The sequence below is a fragment of the Homo sapiens genome, chromosome 6 (genome assembly GCF_000001405.40).
Source record: "Homo sapiens chromosome 6, GRCh38.p14 Primary Assembly".
In the NCBI taxonomy this organism is placed as follows: Eukaryota; Metazoa; Chordata; class Mammalia; order Primates; family Hominidae; genus Homo; species Homo sapiens.
Window position 1 is genome coordinate 129,598,141 of NC_000006.12, and position 12,499 is coordinate 129,610,639.

At 36.9% G+C, this 12,499-nt stretch overlaps 1 protein-coding gene across 1 annotated transcript in view, besides 1 other annotated feature; it reads right to left on the reverse strand.

Moving 5' to 3' along the window:
• The window catches only part of ARHGAP18 (Rho GTPase activating protein 18), a 134,046-nt gene that overhangs the window by 22,009 nt on the left and 99,538 nt on the right, over positions 1-12,499 (reverse strand). Inside the window, exons 9-12 of the mRNA NM_033515.3 lie at positions 9,753-9,912; positions 7,737-7,819; positions 2,502-2,708; positions 1,076-1,216 (exon numbers count right to left, since the gene is read on the reverse strand). Coding sequence (NP_277050.2) covers positions 1,076-1,216; positions 2,502-2,708; positions 7,737-7,819; positions 9,753-9,912 — 591 coding nt within the window. The remainder of the gene's footprint in view (positions 1-1,075; positions 1,217-2,501; positions 2,709-7,736; positions 7,820-9,752; positions 9,913-12,499) is intronic.
• Positions 724-1,018: an enhancer, noted in NCBI's record as "tiled region #13537; K562 Activating DNase matched - State 14:Gen5'". NCBI's record gives its function as "activates a minimal TATA promoter and a strong SV40 promoter by Sharpr-MPRA in K562 cells {active_cell/tissue: K562}" and the evidence as "EXISTENCE:reporter gene assay evidence [ECO:0000049][PMID:27701403]".

Here is a 12,499-nt window from a genome sequence, read left to right on the forward strand (position 1 = left end):
TTCTAAAGTTAACCAAATGCCAAAAAAAAAGGCTTTCTAAAAGCCTTTAGGATAATATCAAGGCCTTTCTAAAAAAATAAGCATATTTACAACTTCTCTTTATGTTTTTAAAGATATTTAAAACTTGATTTAAAATGTTTTACAATGCCAAGAAAGTATCATTTTTTAAGAGTGAGAGCTATAAATAAATCTAAGAGAAAAACTTCGTTTTTATGATTACTGGATCCATAAGCAGGCCAAAACCGAAAATTCAGACAAAGGCAGATAACTGCATTTTCACATTATTCCACAAGATGTCAGCATGTAACTGAACAACTTCAATGGTGGTGGTAGTAGGGAGGAGGTGGATTCACTTAAATAGAACAATAGAAACCCTTTCATTTCATGAACTTACGCTACAGCTTTGGTAACTTACTTCATAAATGTATATCCATGTATATTTTATTATTGTAAACCCAGTTCTTAATATACTCTTACAGTAGTTTATAAATACAGATATTTAGGTATTTCTTTTTTGAAACATCTTAATTTTTTTCTTTCCAATTTAGCTCTCAAAATTCTTCTGATCAAATTGAGAACCTTCAAATACTTATTAAAGTCCAGGAATAATCCTAGGCACAACACAAACATTAACCTATTTGTCCATCTGGATTAGTTATTTTTCCCCATTCTACAGATGAGAAAAATTTAGAAAAAAATGTCAGTGGTTCACATGATGTTATTTACTCACTATAGATTATATATTCAGTAGGCGACTAGAGTCTCCGCACGAGAGGTAGAGGTAGGGGTAGGGGTGTAGGGGTGTGTGTGTGTGTGTGTGTTCAGTCTTGTCTTGATATCTTCCTTTGTTCCCCATTAACAACTCACATGCTGAGTCACCAACACCTGACCAACTGTCAATACTGATCATTAGCAGCAGTAGTAGGAAGACAGTTACTGATGTCTTTCACTTACAAGTAGCACCACAGCCTAATAAGTGGCAGAAAGTCATACTATGAAAACATTAAATAAAAAATTTTGGTATTAAAAAAATACTTAAGATCTGAATAAATACATATCTCCACTATTTTCTTACATCATTTGTACTCTTATCTTGCTTTTCATATTTTTCTCGGTCATAAGCCATTTTCTTCAGCAATTTCTTCATGGCTCTTTTATCCTTTTTATGATTTTCCGTGTTTTGCTTCCTCACTTGGTTTACAATAAACTTGGGAATCTATAGAGAAAAGGAATTAAGCTTAGAGAGGAAAAAGAAATGCCACCATTTTAAACTACAAAAAAAAATTATATTTTTTTAAATTTCAAAAACAGTAAAGAGTTTCTCTTTTTGATAAGACTGCCATTTTACATGCACTATTCATTAAATCTGTGAAAAGAAAATACTTCATATTATTCACTTACCAGGTGTACAGGGCATCCACGTGGTATAATTTGCCACCCACTGTGGAAGGTTCCAAAAGAGGCTTTGTGAAGTTCAAGGACATAGTGGCCGTTTTCTATGCCAGACTGGAGACCCCCTGAGGTGACGAGCAGTAGAAGCCACCTCCGTAGGTCTTTCCTTTTGCAGCCTCCTACCTACAGCCCTGCTAGCTAACCTCAAGTCCCCTTCTAATAACCAGCTAGCCGCTGCTGTCATGAGAGAAAGAACTCCCCAAGAAACAAGAGCTGATAGGTAGCTAGCAAAAATCCAGAACAAATTTATCCTAAGAAATCACATTAGCAAAAACAAAATATTTTAAGGTATCAAAATGTAACCATGAAATAATTTTGACATTTCAAACATTGAGATTTAATAAATGGACATTAATTTTTTATTAAAAAAACACATTTGAAATCATCTACATCAGTTGTCTTTTTATGGATTATAAAAATAAAGACTTCAGGATCTAAATATCATCACTCTGTCTTTTTAACAAATTAATGTTTGGAAGCTCCTCAAATAAGAGATTGAAATATTCAATATTATAATTTTGCTTGGAATTCCTTTAGGTCATTTTTTCCTAAATGCTTATAAGATGCCTCCTGAAAAATTATAAATTTCATTGGAAAATGAGCACCTAATCAACGAAGCCTCTCATCCACTTCCATCCTCTGATAAGCTGTCAAAACAAGCTCAAAATAAGTGTAAAACAGAGGAAACCATTTTTGAAGATGTTCTCAGTTAATAAGGGTACAAAATGCATGCATCCCTTTCAATAAAGGGTCTATGAAAAAGAACTGAATAATCTGAAACCAAGATAGCATGGGCTTTTAAAAATACAGCAGGCCTAAACACTGAGAAATGGGAAAATAGGCAGAAGTAAATAAAAAGTACTTCTTACAAGGCATGTTTTGACATAATTTTAAAACAGAAATTCACAGGGCCCTCCTTACCTATATGAATAAAATGTTTTTAATATTTTCTGCACTCACAAATTTTAAATGTAAATTAATAAAGCTAATAACAAACATGCAATTTGTTTTTTAAACTACTAAGACCAAAGCATATGATATATACTTACTGTCCACAGAAGTTTTTGGTACTTAATCAATAAGTGCATGGTATTTGCTGTCCCAGCTGCCATTACAAATTCTCGCTGTTCACTGGACTTCAATCCCAATGCATGACACATAAAGAGATTCGGGGCCATGACCATTGCTACATTCATGACTGTCATTTTATTTTTTTCTTTATTATCTATTACTCTTTGGAGAAATTCAAGAAGGGCCTGAAACAGAAATGACTCTTTGAGATTTGTGTCATATATGAAGATAAAAGATTAAAGCACTGTAGCATATGCAATTTTTATTTCATTGAAAAAACAAGTTGTGTATAAGCACAGTCAACTAATCACATCCAGCAGGCCCTGTTACCAAAGCTTCTCCATTTGGTTGATGCTCCCTGAGATGGAAATTTGCTTCTACTAAGGACCATGGTGCTGGGGAATGAAGCAGAGATGGCACATAGCTGAACTAGGGAGCAGAGAGAGGAGTGGGGAAGTGTCAGACCTCTGGCCTATGGGAGTCATGGAGAGCTGAAAAGTAATGTAAAACATCATACAAACATTTGCTTATTTCAGGAAATGCTGTACTTTCCTATGTAGAGATTTTTAAAAATTCCCTCAAAAAGGGTCATTCAACTTCAGTCTCATTTCTTTAAGGCAATCAATATCTGGCTGATGTGGAACTTATAAAGAATGAGCCAGGCACTGGGTATGGTGGTGCATACCTGTAGTCCCAGGCACTGGGCATGGTGGTGTACACCTGTAGTCCCAGATCGGTGGGAGGATCATCTGAGCTTAGGAGTCTGAGTCCAGCCTAGGCAACAGAGAGAAACCCTCTCTCAAAAAAGGAAAAGAGAAGAGAAGAGAAGAGAGAAAAGAGAAAAGAGAAAAGAGAGAAGAGAGAAAAGAGAGAAGAAAAGAGAAAAGAAAAGAGAAAAGAAAAGAGAGGTGAGGGAATATTGTGATAGAGAAAGCGGGGAAATGAGGAAAGACCAAAGAGAATCTTTCTTTTTTTTTTTTTTGAGACCAGGTCTCACTCTGTTGCCCAGGCTGGTGTGCAGTGAGAGATCATAGCTCACTACAGCCTCAAACTCCTCGGCTCAAGTGATCCTCCTGCCTCAGTCTCCAGAGTAGCTGGGACCACAGGTGCATGCCACCATGCCTGGCTAATTTTTTTGATTTTTCATAGAGGCAAATTCTCGCAATGTTGCCCAGGCTGGTCTTGAACTCTTGAGTTCAAGAAACACTTCCACCTCATCCTTCCAAAGTGCTAGGATTACACAGGTGTAAGCCACCATACCCAGCTGAGAATTTTTTTTAAAATGAATGAAAAGAAACTTTTCATCAGAACAGGTTAGGTTATGCTCAGCTTGATGCCACGTACACCCACCCCTATTGCAGACACTCATTGTCCTCTGAAACTACCTTCTCCAAAAGGCAAATGCAGCTGAGGTCACCCTACTCTAACATGACTTAAGGCTTCAGATTTTTCTTTTGCCTTCTTCTTTTGTTCTAGAACAACAGTAACTATAACTGCACAGGTATTCAATGTTCTCTATGAATGAGGCAGTTTATGAAGCACGATAGAGATTACTTAATCCTAACTTGGAGACAGATGCTGTAATTACCTCCATTTTACAGATCAGAAAACAATGTTTGGAGAATGTAAGTAACTTCCTGGTGGTCATACAGCTAACAAATCCTGAGAAAGAATTTAATTACAGGTCTATCTGGCTTTTGTTTCTAAATTCTTAACTATTAAAAGAATCATTTTTTCAGAGTTAGCCTAAAATCCCTACCCTAAAAAGGCCAAATATACTATACTAAAATGGAAAAAGGAAAAAAAGTATCTATCTTCCAAAGAATTTCTGGAAAAAAAAATTCCTGTAAGTGCTAACAGGTTGCTTTTGAATCAAGTATAACTGCTATATAGACCTTGAAACTTTGAAACAAATTAAGGACAGAGCTTTAATATCTAACAATGAGATTTATGTATCTAATTTCTAGTACAGTGCTCAGGAAGTTAAATTGTAATCCAAGCATAAAGTTATATAAAACAACATGTTCTCAAATGAGGACAAAAGATTAATTGAAGTTTGGAAAAAATATTTAATTTTGTTCCACAGAGACCAGAATAATTGTTCAGGGACCAGTGTATCTCTTTCTTTATGAGCATAAATTACAGACATTAGGTAATAAACCGTTTTAATTGTGGTGTGCATATGTAATAACGTTACTCAAAATACTACTATCAGAATACTAGAGAATAAGAGAGAGAGTTGACATAAAATTAACGAGATGTTAGCCCAGCCCTTGCTGAAGGAACTGCAGAATTTTCTATCTGAACCTTCAGAATTTCCCCTTTATATATATATATATATAATTTCAATAGTTTTTGGGATATAGGTGGTTTTTGCTTACATGGGTAAGTTCTTTTGCGGTGATTTCTAAGATTTTGGTGTGCCTGTCACCTGGGCAGTGTATAAGCTACCCAATATGCAGTCTTTTATCTCTCACCCTTCTCCTACGCTTCCACCGAGTTCCAAAAGTCCAGTGTATCATTCTTATGCCTTTGCATCCTCATAGCTTAGCTCCTACTTATAAGTGAGAACATGCAATATTTGGTTTCTCATTCCTGCTTTACTTCACTTAGAATAATGGCTTCCGGTTCCATCCAAGTTGTTGCAGAGGCCATTATTTCATGCTGTCTTATGGCTGAGTAGTATTACATGGTGTATGTGTGTATGTGTGTGTGTCTGTGTGTATCTATCACATTTTCTTTATACACTCATGAGAACTTCTCCTGTTTCAAAAAATATTTACTTTATCACTGGCCTGGTGGTATCAATCACCGGGTTCACTCTCTGAAAAGCCAGGTTTGAGTACCAGCACAATTACTTAGTAGCTGGGTATGATGTTACATCTTTACATACCTCTGCTCTTTAAAGTTTTCTGATTTGTAAAATGGGAGTACTTATCTCTCAGCCTGGAAGGATTGAAACAATGTATATAATGAGCTTCTTAAAACTACAAAAAAGATAAATGTCAAGAATTATATTAACATGGATCCCCTCTTGCTATCTTAAAATCAGTCTTCACTATTGTTCCAAGTCAAAGGTAGGTGTGATCATTGGTCCAAATGCACCATAATTCAAAGTGAAAAGTAACTGTAGTTAAGCAGCTTGCCCAAACACACCTGTCACTTTACTACCACACCAAGATGTGGTATTTAACATGGTGCCTCCTAACCCTTAGACTTGCTGTAGCAATATTCCAAACAACCATGCACATGATTCTGTCCTTCAGATGACAACTGAAGGCGTGCTGCTAGCACTGGATAAGTCAGGGAATTTTGCGTTAGACTTCCTGAAATTATATTGCATTGGAGTTTCCCTTCCCTTTTACAGAACTAAATTTATGGCTTATTCTTTGCACATATGGCATTCTTGTTCAAATGTTCTATTATTAAAGTTCTAGTTTGAAACCTTCAGCAGAGCTGGCTAATTAAGTCACTAAAGCTTAAGTAAACATGTAAAATTACTTGTTTGCATCTTCCAGTTTTTTACCAAAAATAGTACTCCCCCCCCCCTTAATTATAAAATTATCTTTCCGATAGCCTCATACACAAAATGTAAGAACTATCCTATAATTTTAAAACTATTTTTTAACAGAATTTTTAAAAGAATATGCCTGGGACTTTGAGGGCAAAGCCCGAAGAAGAGTTCCAGCTCAGCCACACCCAAAGCAGCCATATTGAATTGAATGCTTCCTCCTACAACTACTTGAACTCATTTGAATGTAGGGGTATCTTAAGTAAATCATAAGTTTTCCAGTACCCACTGCACACTGGGCATTGATAGGGTCGTCAATGAGTAAGAAAAAGATGTTCCTCCCTATTTCTGAGTAGTTGAAGCCCTGTGTCGGGAGCACTGCTGACAAGCTGAGGACATGTTAGATCGTCAGCCCCACTTTGTCCTGGGCCATATGTCCCTGTCTCAGCCACAATCTACACACACTTACACAGTAGCCCTGGGCACACACTCTTTGAATATAACCCTTTCTGAGTTGACCTCTGTCTCAAAAGCAAATTGAAATAAAACCTAATGCTGTCTTCTGGGTTATTCATTTGACAACCAGTGAAGCAAAAGGCTTTTTTTCTGATTTAGGAAAGGGAATAACCCTTTGGAAGTTCTCCTGTAGCGGACGTAGCGTTTTACCTCCAGTAATCCCCATAAGCTGCTTCATCAAGAAAAGTTGAGTATTAATATTCATTCCATGGGCATTAAAGAACTATCACTCATGCAGTTACAATTCAAGGAGTTTTAATGAATTACAGGAAAAAAATTCCAAGATGTACCAACTAGTAAATTTGTTTTCTTAACTTGAAAGCTCTTGTCATGAGATTTCATCTTAAATAGAAAAAAATGAAGAGGGTAAAGAAGCCCTTTACCCATATAAAAAATATTTTTAAGGCAAGGGAAAAACTTAAGATAATACTTTTACTAAGTTAATTTTTTTTCCTTTTTCTAAGAGTTTATAATTAAACCTTTTACAACTACTCTATAAACTCTGCTGTTAAGGAAAATAAATCAGTGTGGCACAATCCCTGATTATAAGAGCTTCTGACAACACTTAAAGTAGATGATATTAAGTTATATAAACATTAGAGCAAATCACTTCAAAATGGTGATATAAATCAGAAACTCCGGATGAACCCTTAGAGAAATAATTAGAATTTGTTTGAGTTGGTCTATCTTTTGGCTAACAATTGTGTCAAATCACCATTATGACTCACTTCAAAATCTACCATTTCAAACTACAAACTGTCATATCTTTAGGTAGTAGTGGGTTATATTTGATAAAACTTAGGATTTTTGTTTTAAACATTTATATTTTACCTTACTGCTACCTGCTTATTAAATATAATTTGATAAATGCAAAAAAAAGAAATAAGAAGGAGAAAAAAAACAAAAAACCACCCACGTTTCCATTAACCGACGAACCTCAATCGTCTGGTTTGGAAGAAGAAATGTTACAGTGAAAATTAAAAAAAACAAAAACTTAATAACATTAGTAACATAACAACCTCATAAAGAGTTAAAGGCTTTCACCCTCTGTCCTTAAAAGTAGGCTTTTTCTTTATAGACTTTTATGACCATGTCCAAGATACACATCTTATTGTTTTGCCACAAATAATGAAAAATTACTGTGCTTACTTCTAAGGGATATTTAATGTAAATTAACCAAGCTGACCTTCAGTGTGTCCCTGTTTGCATCAGGTAGGAGGATGACAAGAAGGTTCAAAGCCTGTAGTTGCTGCTTCTTGGTTGGAAGATCTGCAGACAAATTAAATAAATCTGAACTCTTTTCTTCAGTGAACATTTTCCTTTACTTTATTTTTTCACTTTTTAAGAAAAAAGTTATTTGGCATAAACATGACTGTAAAATGTAAGACACAACGACTGAGCTGCAAGCCTTGTTGAGAGTGTGTTTGTGGGAGATCAGCAGAAGCAGCTGCTGTTAGGAGCTTCCTCTCTCTCAGAATGCTCACTTCCAACTGTGATCATATGACGTGCGGCCTTATGTTTGCAGACACACAACAGTGCTTTGGAAATAATTTTAACTTCTGCGTGATAATTATTCCCCAATGAAAAGACATAGAGGATTGGACCTTCCATGATACAGTATCAGGGTGCGTCCGTAACAGTGGTTTGTTTCTTTTAATGGCGAGTGAACAAATGCATGGTAAGAGTCCATCAGTTCCAACAGGAATATGTAAAATAGGGCCTGGAACACAATAGGTGCTTATAAATGCCTGTGGAATAAATTAGAAAACGAAGCAGCAGCTCAACAGTCTAAGAGGTGCATTATTATCATTGATGTTATCATTTTCAGCAGCCCTTACCCCATTTAAGTAATACTCATGGATATTTAGAATCATTCCAGCATTTCTTTTTCAGCAATAAATTTGGTCCTTTAATCCATATCCAGGAAATGTATGCAACGTAGCACAATTTAAACATTAAAAAATATTTCCCACAGAAGGTAATTTATTCTATTTAAAGAAGAAACATGTTAAGAAAAAAATACTTTAAACAGAAGAGATTTCAGTTCCGTCTCTCCTAGAAATTCTGAAGAAATGTCATGATACGAGATGACTCATGAAACCATCTCAATATTGTATGTGTTAAGAATAGCCTGGTACAGTTCTGGTTGAAACTGTAGCTCACCGCAATTTATTCTTTTTTTTTTTTTGAGTCAGAGTCTCACTCTGTCTCCCAGGCTGGAGTACAGTGGTGTGATTTTGGCTCACTGCAACCTCCACCTCTCAGGTTCAAGTGATTCTCTGCCTCAGCCTCCCGGATAGCAGGGATCACAGGTGCGCACCACTATGCCTGGCTAATTTTTGTATTTTTAGTAGAAATGGGATTTCACCATATTGGCCAGGTTGGTCTTGAACTCCTGACCTCAAGTGATCTGCCCGCCTCAGCCTCCCAAAGTGCTGGGAGCTCACCATAATTATTAATAGTGCCCCTTTTCATTCTTATAAGTGTCCCTGTTTAAAAGATAAAGATACAGTTACTTGAAGGCAGTGATGGCATTTTTACTTTTCTTCATGGCCTCTAGGTGTAAAATGGATAATTAGGCCAGTAGATAAACCTTATAAGATCTAGGTTCACTGGAAAAAGAATCGAGAACTATTAGAGACACTAATGTGTAGCTTGCCCAAGACGACAAAATGGCAGTACATAAGAAGCAGCTTGTGACCTTCCACCAATGAGGCAGCAAAATGCTTTGCTCCACACTTCTGCATGACAACCTCAGAATTTAATTTTTCAAGAAATGCTCAGAGACCCTACCACTTCTCCTTGTGCTTTTATGATAACTGTTCATCCACAGCTTCTCCAGTAAGTGTTGCTTTTTAACACTTGGCAAGAAAATTGTATCAGAGATCTTATGTGACTCATTCTATTATAAGAGAAACATGAAGTTTCCAGGTTTTAACACTGAAATATATTGTATTGCTTAAATGTCGTGCAATTAATCTGTACCCAAAGAGAACATTCTGTTATCTGTTTACTCAGGAATGCATATTTATAAGAAAAACAGAAAACAATGCATGGCAGCTGAGCACCCACTGACATCAGTTGAGTCAATATGTCCACCCAAATACGTCTGGTTGCGTTCTTTGTGATGCCAAATGTCATTAAAACAATTAACATAGATGGCACCAGCAGAAGGACTGCTTCAAAGAGGGATAGCACTTACTCTGGACAGCCTGAAAGGCTTTGAGATACTCCACACTGAGCAGTGGCTGGGGCAACTCCCGAATGAAGAGCTTCAGCAGGCTGGCGGCATCATGCTGTTTGACACTTTCCCAATTAAAAGTCCCTTCATAAAACTTTGCTTCTAGTTCTTGGCAAAGATTCTGATAGGCACGAAAAAAAAAAAAAAAAAAAAAAGAAGCAGCTAGAAGTGCATTTTTTTTCTTGCTGAGAGTATGACACATTTTCACTTTCAAGAGACTCTGCTCTTTAGACAAGACAAATCAGACTACCAAAAGTCAATATTTCTTTTACTCAGAAAAAAAACTACTCCTCTCCTCTAATCCAAATGTACTTTACCAACAAAAAACTGTACCTAAGGCCAAAAAACATTTTAAAATTTATACTTTTTCCTGGACATTCCACAAACTGTAAGTAATAAAGTTTTAATTAAGAGACTGGTTAAAATAATTGTTCCATTTGGGGGCTTCATCTACATATTATAAATCTTCGTTAAATTAAGAAAAAAATCATTAAAAAAGAAGTATATGTTTTAAATTTAGAAGTATATTACATAAAAAAATACATAATCAGTCTCTGGGACTAAAACAGAAGGCTACCTCTGATTAGTCACCTACGGGAAATGGAAAACCCAATTTTATAGTAAACGAGGCAAGAAAATACATCAATATACCTGTCTTTAATGCACAGCCATCCTGCTGCCAGCTGCAAAAAACAGTCTGAGTCCATGCAGAATTAGAAATATCTAGTTCACTTACCTCAGAACTCTACAAAATTTGTCAGGCAAATTATTACTAATAAATCAATTGAGTTTTGTAATTACTATTTTTTGTATACTTCTTTACTATATATAAATCCTATCACGTTAAAAACCATCACAAGTTTCTGTCACTTTCCTCTGTTACATGAAACCATTCTCCCAAAGTATGTTCTTTGTTTTCTTGTAAGGCAAATTACCACATTTTCTCTTCCTAACACAACAACCATTCTCTACCCCCAATTATTTTTGTAATTGATGAAATAGGTGAAGGGGAGTGGCAAAGACAGAAAAAGAAATAGAGAGGAGGGAAGAGGGAGTGAGAAAAGGAGGAAGAGGAAAAAAAAAAGAGGAGGGAGGAAAAGATAGAAAAAGGGAGTGGGAGATAGGGAGGGAAGGAAGAGGAGAGAGAGGGGGCATGGAGGGAAAGAATGAGGGGGGAAAGAATGAGCAGGGAAAGAATGAGGGAGGAAAGGACAACAGAGGAAGATCCAGAGAAGAGAGGCAGAAAAAATGGAGGGAGAGGGAGAGAGAATAGTACAGAGAAATTTGGTGGGGCCAGGGGGAAAAGAGACAACCAACATTTTTGCATATTATCTTTTAAATTATTTATAATGGACCAGCTGCTGCATAATTTGGCATATGACAACAGGCTGGGTTGAAGAGTTGAGCCAGCTGAATCCACTTAATTGGCCTTCTTAGAAATTACACTTAGTTAAACTTGTCCTTCTGCCAGCCTTCTCGTTGCAAAGTAAAATCTGCATTATATTCACTATTCTGTACTGAAGTAAATGTATTTTTGCCTCCTGTGAGCTGGCCATTGCAGTCTGCTAGTGAGGGCCCGAGTGCTTTGAACTCGGTGAATTGAGGACTATCTTGCCAATGTGGGTAATATGAAGTTATGTTTGTTACCTGTTTCTGAGGAATTATATCTTTGTTAGTGAATGTACTTAAAAGAACTCGTCTCAGAATCACACAATGTCCACTAGTGGCAAACGTGCTATAGGTGTTACATGAAGTGAGACAATGACAAGCTATGAAACTTACAAACACCACAGTTTCAGGGAGCTCTAAGTACCAGACACCAAACCCAGGGGACACAAGTGGAAAATTATGATCAGAATATATCAGGTTACTCGAATCCTATTAAAATGAGATCACTATGTAGTAAGAGCCAAGGAGGCCGAAACTGGTGTCCTAAATCAAGGCAACTTATCAAAAAAAGCAGGTGATGCAAACTGTGAAATGTATAAAGAGTAATTCCAATCCTGGCAACACCACAGCCCATTAGAAGCAGGCCAGGACAGTGTGCACTCCCCAAGAAACACTTAGTCCTGATCCAGCTCTAACGATTTCATAAAGAATGGGGTTATGAAAATGAAGAGAGATTCTCTCTCTTTTCTCCTATTTTCTCTTGGATTTTCAAATTCAGGAAGACAATGTATTGGATGTGGGCAGTGGTTACTTGTGCTATCTCAGTGCAGAGCTAAAGGTGAATTTGGAAGATAGGGTAAAAGTTAGTAGTTAATGGCTGCTTCCAGATACAGCTACAATTCCAAGTATGAGTCCCCTTTACATTTAAATCCCCTGAGGGGATATGCAGTATGCATCCCCTGTAGGGTAATTCCATCTTTATCATGCATTCATTGGAAGCTTTATCCCCCAGGCCAAAAAGTGAGGCACAAAGATGACAGCAGGAGGACACGTGGTACCCTGGAACAGTGGGAAGGAACTGTCATCCAGAGAGAAGAAAAGGCAAGGGAGAAGGGATGGCTCAAATTGGGAAGTCTAGGAATTATTCTTTCACCAGCCAGACTCAGGCTACCCTGGATGCAGCAAGACAGGGAACTGTGTGAATCAGGAAGGTGGTTGAGAGTGTCTCGTCTGGCCGGCTCACTAAGACTAATTATGCATAGGATGTCAAGGTCCCCCATCTGCAGGAGTCTATGATCCTGGCCTTTTTCTTTTTTTTT